The sequence below is a fragment of the Homo sapiens genome, chromosome 18, assembly GCF_000001405.40.
Source record: "Homo sapiens chromosome 18, GRCh38.p14 Primary Assembly".
NCBI classification, from domain to species: domain Eukaryota; kingdom Metazoa; phylum Chordata; class Mammalia; order Primates; family Hominidae; genus Homo; species Homo sapiens.
Genome location: NC_000018.10, coordinates 49,452,760 through 49,470,866, shown reverse-complemented (window position 1 = coordinate 49,470,866; position 18,107 = coordinate 49,452,760). Strand labels below are relative to the sequence as shown.

Genomic DNA, 18,107 nt, shown 5'->3' with positions numbered 1-18,107 from the left:
ATGGACTTTGGGGACTTGGTGGGGAAGGTTGGGAGGGGGTGAGGAATAAAAGACTATACATTGGGCACAGTGTACATTCGGGTGATGGGTGCACTAAAATCCCAGAAATCACCACTAAAGAACTTATCCATGTATCCCTAAACCACCTGAACCCCTAAAACTACTGAAATTTAAAAAAAAAATTTAAATTGTGCATCTGTTATATATGTCTTTTCATTTATGGTATGTTTCATAATTAAAAAAAGAAACAACAGCAGCATAATCAGCTCTCTAAAACTTAACTTACCAACACATCTTTCCTAAATTTTAATTTTATTCTGCAAGTAATACATTAATATATTCGTACTGTAGAAGATTTATTTTAACTTGTCTTCAACATTTAGTTCATCATCTTCAAAAAATGGCTCCCCTGCTAAACTCATTAGCTATGTGATCTATCCAAGCAGCAAGAAGATGGCCATGCCATGGCAATCCTCTTCCCATTTTCCCTCGCCACTCAGGGCTCAACAGCAGGGTGAGGCTTGCGGGGTGGTGGTGGGGGGAGCACAAGGGCTACTTTCCCCCAGTACAACATGGCATCTGATGCTTGATGGGAGAGCAGAACTGGTGAGACTTGAGGGAAGGGTCCAGGGCCTGTATTCAGTCAGGGTCACTGCTGGAAGAGGAGGAGGAAGAGGAGGAGGAGGAATGCTTGCCATGCTTGTGGTGCTTGTGCATCTTTTTATGAGCTTTCTTCATTTTCTTCTACATCTTCTTGTCCACTATCACTCCTGGTCCAACCAAGCCAGGGGCCAAGGGATTCACAGGAGGCATTCCAGGGGCAGGTGGTGGGTATGGAGGAAGGTAGGGACCCGAAGGTTGGACACCCTGGCTGTGGCACAGGATGAGGGCGTCCACCTGGGGGGAAAGCTGGATTGCCCTGGGGAGCTCCTGAGGGAGGAGGAAAGGGGCCTGGGGGAAAGGGTAGATTGACAGGTGGTGGGTGGGCAGGATTGGAACCTCCAGGGTACCCGATGTTGGGGGGATATGGATTTGGCCCTGGCTGCCTGGCATTGGGATTCCACATGTTTAGGTGTGTCCTTCAACCCCATCACCTTTCCACCACTGCCTGGGCTTGATGTGTTCTCTGTAGAAGATTTTTTAAAATACAGATAGTATAAAAATCCTTCCTGACCCCTCATTTGGATATTTTTTAATGGTGCCTTTTTTTTAATTGTTGACGTTCAAGATAGACTTTAAACAATCTGAAGGAAAATAAATCAATATCAATGACAGTCATGCACACTCAAGCAATCTGTTTCAAAGCCTAATCATTTGTCATCTATTCTCAGTGTTTCTATTATAATTTTTATTATAATAATAGTACAGGCTGAATCCCCAGCACCTATAGCAGTGCCTGGTTCAGAGTCGATACTTAAATATTTATGGAATGAACACTAAATGTTCTCTCAAAAAATGATAATTCAGAAATATCTGTATATTGCAAAAAGTAAAAGGTCTTCCTTACCCTCCTCTGCTCCATTCTGATGATTATGTGAAAGGAAAAGCCTCTATCCTTGGTGAATCTCTCATTTAGCTTTTCTTTTTTAAGAAGTTGTGTATTCTGGTGGTCTTTAACAGAAGAGGGCTATGTGTTATTGGGGGTTCATTGCCACCTGTAGGAGGCAAAATAACCTGTGATGAGTTGGCCCCATTGAAGTACCACACCTCTAGGAAGCCTTCCCTTCCTCCCCTTCTCTTGCCCTTGTTTCTGCAAGCTCTGTACAACACTTCTTATCCGGGTGACCTTGCCCTACAGGTAGCTGGCTACCTGCTGTGTCTTTCACAGGATGGTGAGCTCCTTGTAGACAGTGCTGTCTTTATCTTGCCACCTCCCACAGTGCCTTGGAGGGTACAGTTGCTAAACGTTTTGGAACTAAACAGAAAAAAACACAGTACAATAAGAAATTACCATAATGCTAAATCAACAAATTACTCGAATCTCTTCCCCTGACACTTTAGTAGCTCTTGAAAGGGCAATTTCAGTGATCTTGTCAAACAGCTAAGTCACATGGTGACCTAGAAGAGGGCTTGGAAGTTTGAGTCATTGCCGTTCAATACTCTTTCCTCTAGACATCCTGACCCCCATCCTCTGCAAAACCATGGGCAGTGCAGAGTAGGTCACAAGTATTGTGTTTTTATTTGTTTGTTTGTTTTTAGAGACGGGATCTTGCTGTGTTGCCCAGGCTGGTCTTGAACTCCTGGGCTCAAGTGATCCCCCCACCCTGGCCTCCCAAAGTCCTGGGATTATAGGTGTGAGCCAACATGCCTGGCCTGAGTTGTAAATCTTCCAGGCTCGTGCCACTGGCTTCTGGGAGACTATAAGATATGACCTAGTGTAAATGGAAATAATTTTTACCTATTTGGGTTCAAAGACACCAATAAATCTGTTCTTGGCCACCGAGGTCAGTTCTATTTCTTCAAATCTTGCCTAGAGTAGTGTTTGCACCTCATGTTATGGGTTGAATTGTGTCCCTCCAAAATTCATTTGTTCAAGTCCTAACCCCCAGTACCTCAGAATTTGATCTTTCAAAAGACAAAATTAGGATTGGGTGTGGTAGCTCATGCCTGTAATCCCAGCTACTCAGGAGGCTGAGGCATGAGAACTGATTGAACCTGGGAGGTGGAGGTTGCAGTAAGCCCAGATCGCACCACTGCACTCCAGCTTGGGCAACAGAGCGAGAAAAAAAAAACAAAACAAAATTACAACAAATTTAAATATCTTAACTGCTTTTATTTACAATTCTAGAATCAAGCAACACCTCATCCTATAAAATAAAACGGGTGTTCCCAAGAGCTGAGCAGAGGAGTTTGGTCCAATGGAGAGAAAAAGGCTAAGGAAAGCGGAAACAGAAAACAAAAAGTGGATTGGTTGTTTCAGAGTTACTTTCTTGTTAAGGCTGAAGCAGAGGGGATTTCCTTATCATGCCGGCTAAAACTGGCTTCTTTGGGGATTTGGCTATTATCCCTCACTCTCTTCATTTCTCAGATGGTCAGATAAACAAATTAGTTTCAATTTGGTGACATGGAACCTTAGCATGAATGACTCCATTTTGGTTGGGCCTAGTGCAGGAGCTCAGTCCAAGCCAATGGCCGCCTATAAATTTTATTTAACAGGCTTTATTTGGAAATAGGTACATTGTAGATAGAATTAGGTTATAATGAAGTCACCAGGGTGGGCCCTAACCCAATATGACTGGCGTCCTTATATAAAGAGGAAATTTCTATGTAAACACACACACAGAGGAACATGTGAAGATGAAGGTGGATATAAGGGTGTTCCTTCTACAAGCCAAGGAATGCCAAGAATTGTCAGTAGACCAGCAGAAAGTAGGGGAGAGCATGAAACAGTTTCTTCCTCGCAGCCCTCAGAAGGAACCAACTCTGACAATGCCTTGATTTTGGACTTTTGGCCTCCAGGCCTATGAGACAATAAATGTCCACTGTTTGTGGTACTTTGGTATGGCACCCTAGTAAACCAATATACCCAGGTATTACAGTCAGATATTACAGTCCATGTTAGCTGGAAACACAAGCTAACTCTGAGGAAGCCAAGTGTGAGTCTTCCAACACTGGCAGTGTTGGCAAAAGGAGCTCTGGGACAGCCTTTTCCAGTGAGTGACAGTGTGGGCTGTGCAGCTAGACTGCTGGTGTGTGAGCCTCCACTGGCTAGCTTTGCAATGTTGGGAATTGTATTTAACTTGTTGCGGCTGTACAATGGGGGACAATAAATAAGTACCTTGTCTTAGTCCTTTTGAGCTGCTATAACAAAATACCACAGACTGGGTAATTTACAAAGAGCAAAAATTGGACAGGCACAGTGGCTCATGCCTGTAATCCCAGCATTTTGGGGTGCCGAGGCAGGCGGTTCACGAGGACAGGAGTTCCAGACCAGCCTGGCCAAAAAACTCCGCCTTAAAAAAAAAAAAAAAAAAAAGCAGAAATTTATTTCACACAGTTATGGAAGCTGGGAAGTCCAAGATCAAGGCACCAGCATATTTGGTGTCTGGTGAGAGCCTTCTTGCTATGTCCTCACATGGAGGAAGGGCAGAGGGGAAAAAAGGCCTAGGTAGTTCTCTCAAGCCCCCTGCTTTTTTTTTTTTTTTTTTTTTAGATGGAGTTTTCACTCTCGTTGCCCAGGCTGGAGTGTAATGGTGCAGTCTCAGCTCACTGCAACATCCACCTCCCAGGTTCAAGTGATTCTCCTGCCTCAGCCTCCTAAGTAGCTGGGATTACGGGTATGCATCACCAAGCCTGGCTAATTTTTTGTATTTAGTAGAGATGGGGTTTCACCATGTTGGTCAGGCTGGTCTCGAGCCCTCTTATAAGGCTAGTGATCCCACTTGTGAGGAGGGAGGAGCCCTCACTCCACTCAATCACCTCCCCAAAGACCTCACCTCTTTTTTTTTTTTTTTGAGACAGAGTTTCACTCTTGTTGTCCAATCTGGAGTGCAATGGCACTATCTCAGCTCACAGCAATCTCTGTTTCCCGGGTTCAAGCGATTCTCCTGCCTCAGCCTCCTGAGTAGCTGGGACTACAGGCGCACGCCACCACGCCCAGCTAATTTTTGTATTTTTAGTAGAGACGGGGTTTCACCATGTTGGCCAGGATGGTCTCGGTCTCTTGACCTTGTGATCTGCCTGCCTCGGCCTCCCAAAGTGCTGGGATTACGGGCGTGAGCCACCGCGCCTAGCCCTGGTTTGGTTTTTTTTTTTAGAGACAGGGTCTCGCTCAGTTGCCCAGATTGGAGTGCAGTGGCATGATCATGGCTCACTGCAGCTGCGATCTCTTGGGCTCAAGCAATCCTCCTGCTCCAGACTCCCAAGTAGCTAGGACTACAGCTGTGCACCATTACGCCCAGCTATTTTTTTGGTAGAGATGGGGGTCTCACTATGTTGCTTAGGCTGAGCTGGAACTCCTGACCTCAAGTATTCCTCCCTTCTCAGCCTCCAAAACTATTGGAATTGCAGGCATGAGCCACTGCACCTAGCCCCCATGTTAACTATTATTAGTTTGTGACTTTTCCTAATTTGTCCCAGACAGGAAGGAGACAGTGACAGCTGCACTGTGCCCCCTCCCTAAGTTCTGCCATCAGAACTGCTCCTCTGACATCTTTTCTGATGGCCAGAAGGCCACCAGGACCCATAGTGATCAGGCTGTCTCAACCTCTTTCCCCAGGCTAGGCTAAGGGCTCAGGAAAAGGAAGAATGAATGGGGGCTCTGTAGAGTGCATCTAAGCTCTCCTGCATGCAGGAGGGACTGGAGAACGAACTGTGTAGCTTCTTACCTTATCAGGCAGGCAATACCCAGGAATGCTGGAGTCACTGCTTTTGGAGCATTCAAACTCTCTGCAGCACTTTCTGAGTCTTGCTGCTAACAGCTGGCCTTGCAAGGAATTCATTACCATAGCACCACAGGAGGCCTTAGAGGACGCCGGTTCAGGAGCTTGCTCAGTCATTTGTGCAGCTCACTGGCTGTGCATCTCTGTCGGAATCCTCTCATGTCCCTAGAACTCAAATCACTAACATTCCCTACGCTGTTGTAACTTTATTTTACTACCTGTTCAGCCAGCCTCTGCTTGAACACATGCAGTGATTGGGATCTCATTTCTCTTCCACATAGACCATTTCACTACTAGTAAGCTTAATTTCACTGAACCACCTATGGTGAAGTGATTCCTGAGTCATTAAATAACTTTCTACTGCACCCTTTCTCATAGGGTTATTTGGAGACTTAAATAAGATAACAGTGCCTTGCTCACAGAAAACAGCCTGTAATGTGAATTGACAATTATTGCTGCTGATATTGTTTTCAGAAAGTTCTTATATGGAGCTGAAATCTGCATTCTGTAACTTCGAAAACTTGGTCTTAATTTGGCTCATTGGCATAACAGAAAATAAGTCTAATCATGCCCCCCTGAGGATGGTTCTACTTATCACAAGTCTCCTCTTAGTCTAGTTCTTCATACTCAGTTCCTTCAGCCCTTCCACATGGGACGTAATTTCCAGATCTCTCACCATCCTGACTGCCCTTCCCTGGACAGGTTCTGTTTGACCTTCATCCCTCCTTGGAGGAGTGGCCAGGTGCTGGCAACTAAGACATGCGAGCTGTCCACCATCTGGATTATGCAGATGAACTAACATTGAAAATGACACGCTACATGCATTACTTAATTTCGTTCTCACAGCACCTTCATGAGGAGAAAACTGAGGCTCAGAGATGTTAAGTAGCTTTCCCCAAATCGTTTAGCTCAGAAATTGTGGAACCAGAATTCAACCCAGATCTGTCTGACTCCAAAGTCTGCTCTTCTTTCTTGGGGAAGTGGAAGCCTGAGTGCTGTTCTTGGAACAGCCTCAAGACAATAATCTGGGGACTGTCTTGGTCCTGCTTGCAGAGGGTCCTTCTGTTACGTATGGGTCCTTTCTGGCCCTTTAGCTTCTACAAAGAAAGTCAGTCCCCCTCCAGCTCTAAAGACACATGAAGTCTGTTTGCAGTCCAGACCTTGCAAACTTGTAGTTATAGAAACCTCAGAGGCCTACCAGGGCTTGAAGGATATTTGGCTCCACTTTACATCTCCATTCTTCTTTTCCTCCTGTTTTTAATGTAACCTGTAATCCTAGCAATTTGGGAGGCTGAGGCAGGTGGATCACCTGAGGTCAGGAGTTCAAGATCAGCCTGGCCAACATGGTGAAACTCCGTCTCTACTAAAAATATAAAAATTAGCTGGGCTAATTTTTAATTAGTGTGGTGGCCCGCGCCTTTATTCCCAGCTACTCAGGAGGCTGAGGCAGGAGAATTGCTTGAACCTGGAAGGCGGAGATTGCAGTGAGCTGAGATTGTGCCATTGCACTCCAGCCTTGGCAACAAGAGTGAAACTCCGTCTCAAAAAAAAAAAGTATTCTGTCCACCACGTGGAATAATGTAATATTTAGTAATAAGAACAGCTGCAAGGTGTAGAGAGTTACCGTATATCCATCACCCAGCTTTCCTTAACGTTAACATTTTATATAACCACAGCATCATTTTGTCAAAACTAGATAATCAGCATTGGTACAATACTGTTAACTAAACTCTAAACTTCATTTAGGTTTCATCAGGCTTTCCACTATTGCCTTTTTCAATTCCAGGATGCAGTCCAGGATATCCTATTGGATTTAGTGGAAGGATTTCATACATTTTCTATTGCTGTTCCTGCACTAACTAGACACTGAAGTTGTCAAGTCAGCCAAAGTTATCATAATACTTTTTTTTTTTTTTTTTTTTTGAGATGCAGTCTCACTCTGTCACCCAGGCTGGAGTGCAGTGGGGCGATCTTAGCTCACTGCACCCTCTGCCTCCCAGGTTCAAGCAATTCTCCTGCCTCAGCCTCCTGAGTAGCTGGGACTGCAGGCCTGCACCACCACAACTGGCTAATTTTTTTTTTTTTTTTTTTTGGATTTTTAGTAGAGACGGGGTTTCACCATGTTGGCCAGGCTGATCTTGAACTCCGGAACTCAGGTGATCCGCCCACCTCGGCCTCCCAAAGTGCTGGGATTTACAGGCTTGAGCTACCACGCCCGGCCATCATACTTCTGCAGGCAGTTTTGAAAGTTGGTGTCCAAGGATAATAATTTGCACATTACATGTACAAAAAAGGTGCATAAGGACTGCTACTCTAACTCAACACTTCCTACGTAGTAAAAAATATTCCTAATCTTATCTTCCGATTTATGATATTTGCCTAGCAACATTATAACATTTGCCTAGGAACACAGGCAAGACTGTTTATTTCAAGTCATCCAAAAATGACCAAAGGGAGACGATGTAAAATTTCACTAATAGGATCCCCTTGAAATAAAATATTTTGCTTCTTAGGTCTATAAAGCCAGTTTTGAGGAGATGCTCACAACTGTTGCTGAGTCAGTCTGGGGAAAGTAGACTGTGTGCCAGGCAATATTAAAAAATATTTTGAGTTAGGTTTTCATGCCTGAGTCTCTTTTTTTATTTTTTATTTTTTTGAGACAGAGTCTGGCTCTGTCACCCAGGCTGGAGTACAGGGGTATGATCTCGGCTCGTGGCAACCTCCACCGTCTGGGTTCAAGTGATTCTCCTGCATCAGCCTCCTGAGTAGTTGGGGCTACAGGCGCATGCCTGGCTAATTTTGTATTTTTCGTAGAGACGGGGTTTCGCCATGATGGGCAGGCTGGTCTCAAACTGCTGACCTCAGGTGATCTGCCTGCTTCGGCCTCCCAAAGTGTTGGGATCACAGGCATGAGTCACCACGCCCAGCCCTGAGTCTCTTTTTGCTGTAATTTTAAAATAAAATTGTACATGTACTTCATATTCCTTGCAGAAAAATTAGAAAACATAGGGAAAAACTAATTTTAACCACACAGGATCTCATTACCCAAAGTTGCAATATTGTTAATATTATTTGTCTTTTTTCCAACAGCACATATACATAGGTATTATAAATATTATAGTAAACATATATTACATATGTTATATTAATATATCATTTAATATATTAATATAAATATTATATTAAGTGGCAAAACCACAATTAGTTTTGCACCAACCTAATATAATTCACTTATGAAAATTTGATACTATATATGTTTCCACTCAGTGTATCATGAAAATGTTTTCAAATAAATATGCATCCATAGCATTCTTTACAATGACTGCATAGTAGTGTCTATGGCTTTTTAGTTAGGTAGTTTGGGGTTTTTTTTTTTTTTTGAGACAGTGTCTCGTTCTGTTGCCCAGGGTAGAGTGCAATGGTGAGATTATGGCTCCCTGAAGCCTCAACCTCCCGGGCTCAAGCGATTTTCCCACATCAGCCTCCCGAGTAGCCGGGACCGAGGGTGTGCCAACCACTCCCAGCTAATTTTTGTATTTTTTGTTGAGACAGTGTATCGCTATGTTGCTCAGGCTGGTCCTTCCGAACTCCTGGGCTCAAGTGATCCTCCCACCTTAGCCTCCCAAAGTATTGGGATTACAGGCATAAGCCACAGGGCCCAGTCTACTTTGGGTTTTAATATGTTTTCCTGTCATAATTCTGCAAGCTCAGTGAATTTACTGGCAGTCTATGCTAGAAAAGAATACCTAATATTTGTATAGTACTTTACAGAGTACACTGGCACATATTGACTATATAATGGGAATAACGGTGCTATCTGTTCCATAGGGTCATTTTGCGAAATAATAGTGCATGGCAAATAGAAAATAATCCATAATGTGAATTGTTATTACTACAGTCATGTCAACATTTCCTGTAATGGCAGAATCATCATCATGCATATATTTTAGGTGAGGAAACTGGCTGAGAGAGGTGAAGTAATTGCTCAAAGACGTCAGTGTGGAAACCTCAGCTCATTTGACTTCAAATTCCATAGTTTTGGCACTATCTCATATTGCTACTCTTTCCCGTGGGACCTGTCCTTTCCGACAACTTTGCAGGCAGGGCTAGCCCTGCCAGCTGCCTCCATCAAAAATTATTTTGCTATTTCTCAATTCTCCAGAATCCCACACAATATTGCTTGACTTTGGGATGGTTATTCAGCTGCAATTAACAGAGGCCTTAATAAGGTTAAGCCGCCAGAACGAGCGGTGTAGCATGAGCGAGGACTCTAGCACCTGGCAGGTGAGGTTGACTCTAGCACCCGGCAGGTGAGGTTTTTGCGCTTCTCTCTCTCTCTCTTTTTTTTTTTTTGAGAAGAGTCGAGCTCTGTCGCAAGGCTGGAGTGCAGTGGCCCGATCTCGACTCACTGCAATCTCCGCCTCTCGGGTTCAAACGATTCTCCTGCCTCAGACAGCTACTTTTTGACTCACTGCAATCTCCGCCTCTCGGGTTCAAACGATTATCCTGTCTCAAACAGCTACTTTTTGTATTTTTAGTGGAGACGGGGTTTCACCATGCTGGCCAGGATGGTCTCGATCTCCTGACCTCGTGATCCGTCCACCTCGGCCTCCTAAAGTGCTGGGATTACAGGCGTGAGCCACCGCGCACGGCTGTTTTTGCGCTTCTCGATTTCGCCACGTGGCTTTGCGGTAGCCCAGGAGGTACTAGGAGGGCGGAGGCACGAATAACACCCAAAGGACTACAGTTTCCAGAAGCCCGCGCGCGCCGCGTGCCACGTGACCACCTGGCTGGCGCGCGCGCCTGGGGGTCTGGTCCCTAGCCGCGTTCTCGGTCGCTTCCCTCTTCTCTCGCCGCCTCCTGGCCTCCGCACCGACGCGGCCCGGGCTGGAGCCGAGCCGGGGCCGAGCTGCAGGCCGGACCGGAGCCGGATCTGTACCCGCTGAGACGTGGAAACATGGAGGCCTGAGCCGGTGTGCGCCACCTGGGCTGCGGCGGCGACAGCGACTTCTCCTGACCCCTCTGCCACCCTCCCATCCGTCCGCGGGTCCGTGGAGCTGGAGCAGATCCCCCAGCCGGCTGAGACAGGTGGGCTGTAGCGCCGCCCCCCTCAGCGCGGCCGGGCCCGAAAGCCTGGCTGTCCCCGGCCTCCTGTCAGAGGGGGTCAGGGGCCACCCTCCGCAACCCGGCCAGCGCCCCGGGGCGGCGGCGAAGGGACCCTCCCTTCCCTGCCCGCGGGCGCCTGGGCCACCCGGAGGGGCTGTGCTGACAGCGGACGGACCTCTGTCCGAGTCCGCTGTTGGGAGTTGGGGGATACCGAAGGCCAAGTCGGTGCTTCCGGAGATGGGGCGGTGTTGGTCTGACAAATGGGCGTGTGATGGGCAGGGTGAGCAATAGCTGTTGGGTTTTTCTTTCTTCTTTTTACATTCATAGTTTATCGAGGTATAACTAACATATCAGAAAATTAACCCTTTAAAAGTACAACTCAGTGGTTTTTAGTATATTCACAGGGTTGAGCAGCCATCACCACCCTTAACTCCAGAGCATTTTTAATCACCGCCCCCCCCGCCCCAAAGAAGCTCGTACCCATTAGCAGTCACTCCTCCTTCTCTCCCCTACACTATTGATCTACTTTCAGTCGCCGTGGATTTGCCTGAGCAATTGTGTTTTGACTGAAAAGTGAAAGGGTGGGTGTTTGTGAACTGGGGGCAGTAGTGGGGTTTGAGGGTATTGGTGTGGTAAAGCTGATTGGATAAAGCTGTTCTCTACTGAACAGGGGTAGAGAAGTGATGGGATGATTGTAATCGGCCAGCAAAGCGGGTACCCAGGATAGACTGATTAGGGGGCACAGATGGAGTGAGTTCCTTGAAAGAGGAGAGGGGAAGTTGGAGAGAGGGGTGTGTAGAGCAAGGGTGATGTGCTGAAGGATGAAAACCTGGAGGGTGGAGGCCGTGGAGAGGAATGTAGCGTCCACCAGAGGAACTCAGGTGCTTAGGCTGATGAGTTGAGGGCTCAAGAGAAGAACGAGGTGGAAGGGAAGAGAATCTATAGGAATGGGTGAATGGTTGTTGCAGAGGATGAAATTTATGAATATATGGATTTCTGGAGTGATTATCCTGCTTTGAAGTTTTATTTTAGATAATCCTCTCAGCAACTTGGAGATAGACCGGACAAGTATGAATATTCCCATTCTGTAAATGAAGAACTAGTCTTTTAGAGGTTAGGTGTCTGCCTTAAGCTCATAAACTGAGTACATAGGGCAAAATGAGTTGGAATAATTGATGAAACTATCAGTCGCAAGTGGATTAAATGGCAGAGAACTGAGTTGGGGCAATGTTAATAGGAAGGAGATTCAGCTATTAAGAAGTCTGTGTTGTTACGACATATAGGTCAAGGAGTTTTTATGTTTTTGCACCTTTTAACCATAGAAAAGTTCACACAGTGAAATAATAAAGGGTACTCCCATGTACCCATTACCCAGCTTCAGCAGTTAACTCATGCCAATTTAATTTCATCTATGTCCCTATGCATTCCTATCCCCACTCACAATTATTTTAAAGCAAATCATAGACATTCAATTTCATCTGTAAATATTTCAATATATATCTGTAGAAGATTGAATTGCTTTTTTTTGTTGGTGGTGGTGGGAGGCAGAGTCTCGCTCTGTCATTCAGGCTGGAGTACAGTGGCGTGATCCCGGCTCACGGCAACGTCTGCCTCCTGGGTTCAAGCAATTCTCCTGCCTCAGCCTCCTGAGTAGCTGGGATTACAGGCACGTGCTACCATGCCTGGCTAATTTTTTGTATTTTTAGTAGAGACGGGGGTCTCATCATGTTGCTCAGGCTGGTCACGAACTCCTGAGTTCAGGCATTTCACCCACCTCAGCCTCTGAAAGTGCTGGGATTACAGGGGTGAGCCACTGCACCTGGCCTGCTCTTTTTAATAGGCCCAGAATACCATTATCACACATAAAAATTAATAGTTTTTAATATCTAGAAAGATTTACTGTACTTTAAAAAAGTGTGGTAATCCATTTGATACAAAGAGGATAAACAGTGCAAACGCTTTTATGTTTGACTCTGAAAAATGTGGCATAATTATCTCCTGATTTTTCCATTAGATCCTGCCATCCTGATTGTTCCTTTTTTTTTTATTAATATGGCTCATTTTTCTACAGAAAGTTTGAAGAATTGTCACTTTGGTAGGCTTTTTAATGAATGGAGGGCAGGAGAGAAATAGAAGTGAAATATGTTACAACATGTACAAATGGCTCTTTCTTATATTGCTCCAAATATTTGGGCAATTTGGTTATGCTTTTCTAGATAATTTCACATATTATTAGAAGTTGTTTAATGTTATGTATCAGTTTTCTATGATTGCTGTAACATGTTACCACAAATTTAGTGGCTTAAAACAATGCATTTATTATTTTACAGTTCTGTAGGTTAGAAGTCAAAGTGGGTCTCACTGGCTGTCAACAAGGCTGTGTTCTTCTCTGGAGGTTTCTAGGGGGCATCTATGCCTCTTCCAGCTTCTAGAGGCTGCCACTTTCCTTGGCTTGTGGCGTACCTCCTCTGTCTTCAAAGCCACCAGTGTTGCATCTCTCTGATCATACTTCCATCCTCAAGTCTCTGACCACAAGTGGGAAAGGTTCTCTGCTTTTAAGGACCCATGTAATTAAATCAGGCCCACTTAGCTAATTCAGGATAAATCCCCCCTCGAGGTTCTTAATTTAATCACGCCTGCAAAGTCTCTTTTCCCAGCAACATAATCAGAGCTTCCATGGATTAGTATGTGGACATCTTTGGAGGCTATTATTCTACCTACCACAGTGTATTTTGGAATATTTTGCCGAGACTTAAGAAAGTAGGTGATTTCTTTTGCTGCTGTACATGCAACGAGAGGGCCGTCTTTTACTTAGGATTGTAGATAATGGGAATGGTTAGATCTAGAGAAGACTGTTCATTTTTCCTTTTAGTGAAATATGGGAAATACCTGTGACACTTGTAGTATAGGCTTTGGTAAAATGAGACCTTTAAAAATGATTTAAGTATAAAAGCAATACAGCTCCATGTAAAGTTTTTCTATATTTCGTTTTGGTCTCTTTTTCATATTCATGTCTTAAAACATAGTATATATGTGTAATCAGAGGGCTAACCTGATACTTGACACAGGACACGCTGGGGGCAATGATGGTTCCCATGCCCAGGATGAGAAGGCAGGGACTCTCTGTCCAAGTGGGAGATAAAGGCACCCCCATTTCAGCAGCAAAAGAAGACTCCTAATGAAAGTGAGAGAATATCTTCAGGCAGAATGAACTACTGTGAGATTTGGACTTGAAGCAGCCTCTTCTCAGGTTCTTCTGTGACTCAGCTGGGAATGGTAGAGTGCTGTGAGCCTAGAAGAGCAGAGTGATAAGATGCCCATTGCTGCTTTTCCTTTCTTCGGACAGAGAGAGGACTAATCTTAAAGATTGAAAGGATTTCTGGGAGTCCTCCAGTTTGGTATCCTGTTTCCTAGTGGGTTTCACTTTCCTACTTAGCTGTCAAAGTCCTTACTGTCTCTAGGTGTGAAGGTTCTGGCTTTCTGGTGGTGGTGCACCATTTATCAGGAAATGTGATGGGACTTATTAAATATCTGCTCTTGCCTTTAAGCATTTTTTTTTCTAGTAAGGTTTTTAGCAGAGCTTTATGCTTTGAACTTTGCTTGTAAACAGTTTGTAAGTTATCCTCACATTACTTAATTCTAGACAAAATGAACTAGTGGGGCTGGGAACAACTTTACATATAGGTCTTATTTAGTAAAAGTTTTTGTTTTTTTCATTTCTTAAGGAAGTTTGGTTAGTGATTTTGGTATCTTCTCTGATTTTTATCACATTCTTTAAAAATGCAGGCAATGAAAGTGGCTGAAACTTTCCAATAAGGACATTGGAATAATTATTTTTAAAAAGCTTATCTTTTCTTTTATTGCTCAGTCTTTTGGGCATTTAAAACCTTTTGTCCATCATATGATCGATGACAAATTTCTTTGTTAGGTTGAGTCAGTCACTGAATCTTGACAATTATTCCTTCAAAATATGTCATGCAACCCTCCACCCAGAATACTTTGAAAACCCTACCTGTATCAGTTAGGCTTAGGTTTGGCTATGAATAACAGAGACCTGAAAAATAATAGCTTAAACATATGACTAGTTTGTTTCTTTTGTAAAAGAAGTCCAGAGGTGGACGATTAAAGGCTGGTTTGGCAGCTCTGCTGTCATCAGGAACCCAGCCTCCTTGTAGTTTCTTACACTGTTAACCCTAAAGTATGGCCCTTGATTTCTGGGTCCAAGATGGCTGCTGGAGTTCTAGCTAAAATTTCCATGTTCCTAACAGCAGGATGGAGGAAGGGATAAAGAAGTGACTGTCCACTCTTAGAGACTTAAATATATCTTAGTTGAACAGGAATATGCCTGGTCAAAAAAATGGAGTTCTGTTACTAAAAGGAAGAGAGGACTGGAGATTGGGTAGGGAATTAGCATTTTTTGCTTTTTTTTTTTTGAGACAGTCTGACTCTGTTGCTCAGGCTGGAGTGCAGTGGTGGGATCTCGGCTCACTGCAACCTCTGCCTCCCAGGTTCAAGTGATTCTCCTGCCTCAGCCTCCTGAATAGCTGGGATTACAGGCATGCGCCACCATGCCCGGCTAATTTTTGTACTGTTTTTAGTAGAGTTTTCACCATTTTGCCCAGGCTGTCTCGAACTCCTGACCTCAGGTGATCCACCCACCTCGGCCTCCCAAAGTGCTGGGATTACAGACAGGAGCCACTGCGCCTGGCCTCTGCTCCTTTATAATTAATTTCTCTGAACCCAGACTAACCTACATACTTTTTGAAACTCTAGGTTTGAGTCCTAGTTCTATCATTTATTTGCTTTGGCATGTTACTCAACCTTTTTGAACTTCAGTTTTCTTATCTGTATAATGGGACTAATATATACTTTATATGTTTGTTAGAGAATTAAATGAAAATACCTCTATGTACCTAGCAATATATACACTATAACTATTAGTTGTTTTTCATTCTCTTCCTTTAGATTTCTCGACTTGGATATCTGAATGAGTGGTGTAAAAAGATGAGAATTAGAGATGGACAAGGAGAAGGATGTATATTCAGTTCAGTATTGAGCATGTGGAGTTTGAGGTGCCCTTGGGACATCAGATGGTGATAGATGTTAGGCAGTTAGATAAACGGGACTGACACTCAAAAGACAGTTCTGACTAGACATAGATATTTTGGATTGTAAGTGTATAGGGGTAGAATTCATCAATCTGGAAGTCTTAGGGAGGATGTATGCAGTTGTACGGTTACTATGTGCGGAGTAAGAAGGCATGCCCTTTAGTGAGTCTCTCTGTAAAGCGTCAAGCCTCAGCTTACTTTCTGGCCTTTTCTTTATTATTTTTATTTTTTTGTGGGTTAAGGAGTGGAAAGTCTAATAGAAGAAAGGAGAGAGGAGAGCAGCTCCTTGAGAGAGAGAGAGAGAGGTCCAAAAAAGGAGGAGGCCATGGACCGCAGCAGATTTTTTTTTTTTTTTTTTTTTTTTGAGACAGAGTCTCGCTCTATCACCCAGGCTGGAGTGCAGTGGCGCGATCTCGGCTCACTGCAAACTCTGCCTCCTGGGTCTACGCCATTCTCCTGCCTCAGCCTCCTGAGTAGCTGGGACTACAGGCGCCGGCCACAATGCCTGGCTAATTTTTTTTTTTTTTGGTATTTTTAGTAGAGACGGGGTTTCACTGTGTTAGCCAGGATGGTCTCGATCTCCTGACCTCGTGATCCACCGGCCTCGGCCTCCCAAAGTGTTGGGATTACAGGCCTGAGCCACCGCACCCGGCCTGCAGCAGATTTTTATATGGAGAAGGCAGTGTCTGATTTACATAGGGCTCACAGATTGGTTCGATCATGCATGACGTCTACAGAGTGTGTGGGGAAGGCTGGTTGCCTCAACCTAATCTTATGCAAATGGGCTTTCCAGTTGATTGGCACCATCCTGTCTGCTCCTTTACAGTACATGTGGCTGGCAGAGAAGGGAAGATGGAGCCGCCATTTTGAAAATGTCTAGTCCTTAGTTTCTGCAGGCATTATCGTGTGCAAGCTCCCAGCTTGCAGGCTGCTCTTTGTTAGAAAATGATTTGGGGCTGCTTTTCATTAAAAAGAACAGCCTTACTGAGGACTCCCATGCCCTTGCTATCTGCCTAAGTAATTCCTTGTTAACTCCTATATCATCATTCCCTGCTCTGGAGTGGCAACCCTAACTGCTGTTAGGGGGTGTTGGGTGATGACTCTTTCTGGCTACTTCCTGCTGAAAAGGGGCATCATGTGGGGATCAGCAGCTAGGGCTCCTCCTGGGGTCAATCTAAGGGTCCTTGGAAGAAAGGCATGTCCGTGTGTGGTTCTGTCTGCAGCATCATTTGGAGTTTGATTCTGTTGCTATTCTGATGGGTTGTAACACTGGTTTGCCTCCACCAGATGTTGTTGAAATGTTAATATAAAAGTAACATTCCTTTTAGGATAAGTGGCATTGGATTTGGGTGGCTGGAGTAACTTTAGTGTTAACCTTGGCTAGATCTTTCCTGCAGTTATCAATCCCTTCATGACTTCCACAGAAAATCTCTTTCCTTTATAACCTTCTTTGCATAGCCAGGGTGTGACATATTACCAAACCCAATAAGAAGTTCTAGCAAACTCGGTGTTAGTAAAACTTTCGTGCTTCCTTTTTGTTGGTAATTATCCCTGCTATCAGGATAATAATTAAGCAAATTCTACAACAATGAAAACTCTCTTTCCAGTATTTCAGTTAGAAGGTGCTATTGTGTCCAGAATTGGTGGGTTCTTGGTCTCATTGACTTCAAGAATGAAGCCACGGACCCTCACGGTGAGTGTTACAGTTCTTAAAGGCGGCGTGTGTGGAGTTTGTTCCTTCTGATTTTCGGATGTGTTCGGAGTTTCTTCCTTCTGGTGGGTTCGTGCTCTCGCTGGCTTCAGGAGTGAAGCTGCAGACCTTCGCAGTGAGTGTTACAGCTCATAAAGGCAGTGTGGACCCAAAGAGTGAGCAGCAACAAGATTTATTGCAAAGAGCGAAAGAACAAAGCTCCCGCAGTGTGGAAGGGGACCTGAGCCGGTTGCCACTGCTGGTTGGGGCAGCCTGCTTTTATTCCCTTATCTGGCCCCACCCACATCCTGCTGATTGGTCCATTTTACAGGGTGCTGATTGGTGCGTGTACAATCCCTGAGCTCGACACAAAAGTTCTCCAAGTCCCCCCTAGATTAGCTAGATACAGAGTACTGATTGGTATATTTACAAACCCTGAGCTAGATACAGAGTGCTGATTGGTGCATTTACAAACCTTGAGCTAGACACAGGGTGTGGATTGGTACATTTACAAACCTTGAGCTAGACACAGAGTGCTGATTGGTGTATTTACAATCCCTTAGCTAGACATAAAGATTCTCCAAGTCCCCACCAGATTAGCTAGATACAGAGTGCCGATTGGTGCATCCTCAAACCCTGAGCCTAGACACAGGGTGCTGATTGGTCTGTTCACAAACCTTGAGCTAGACACAGAGTGCTGATTGGTGTATCTGCAATCCCTTAGCTAGACATAAAGGTTCTCCAAGTCCCCACTAGACTCAGGAGCCCAGCTGGCTTCACCTGGTGGATCCTGCACCAGGGCCGCAGGCAGAGCTGCCTGCC

The 18,107-nt window shown here is 44.7% G+C and overlaps 1 protein-coding gene and 1 pseudogene across 41 annotated transcripts in view, besides 2 other annotated features; one reads left to right on the top strand and one right to left on the bottom strand.

Moving 5' to 3' along the window:
- Positions 451–1,127, bottom strand: PRR13P4 (proline rich 13 pseudogene 4; annotated as a pseudogene).
- Positions 4,961–5,735: an enhancer, noted in NCBI's record as "OCT4-NANOG-H3K27ac-H3K4me1 hESC enhancer chr18:46991502-46992276 (GRCh37/hg19 assembly coordinates)". NCBI's record gives its function as "activates a minimal SCP1, AML or CMV promoter by ChIP-STARR-seq in naive and primed H9 embryonic stem cells {active_cell/tissue: H9 hESC(naive and primed)}" and the evidence as "EXISTENCE:reporter gene assay evidence [ECO:0000049][PMID:30033119]".
- Positions 10,222–18,107, top strand: part of DYM (dymeclin) — a 424,259-nt gene continuing 416,373 nt past the window's right edge. For all 41 annotated transcript variants that reach the window (NM_001374439.1, XM_047437559.1, XM_047437553.1 and 38 more), the window contains exon 1: positions 10,222–10,469. The gene's annotated coding sequence lies outside the window, so the exon portion shown is untranslated. The remainder of the gene's footprint in view (positions 10,470–18,107) is intronic.
- Positions 10,244–10,823: a silencer, noted in NCBI's record as "silent region_9448". NCBI's record gives its function as "represses an Ori minimal core promoter by ATAC-STARR-seq in GM12878 lymphoblastoid cells {active_cell/tissue: GM12878}" and the evidence as "EXISTENCE:reporter gene assay evidence [ECO:0000049][PMID:35858748]".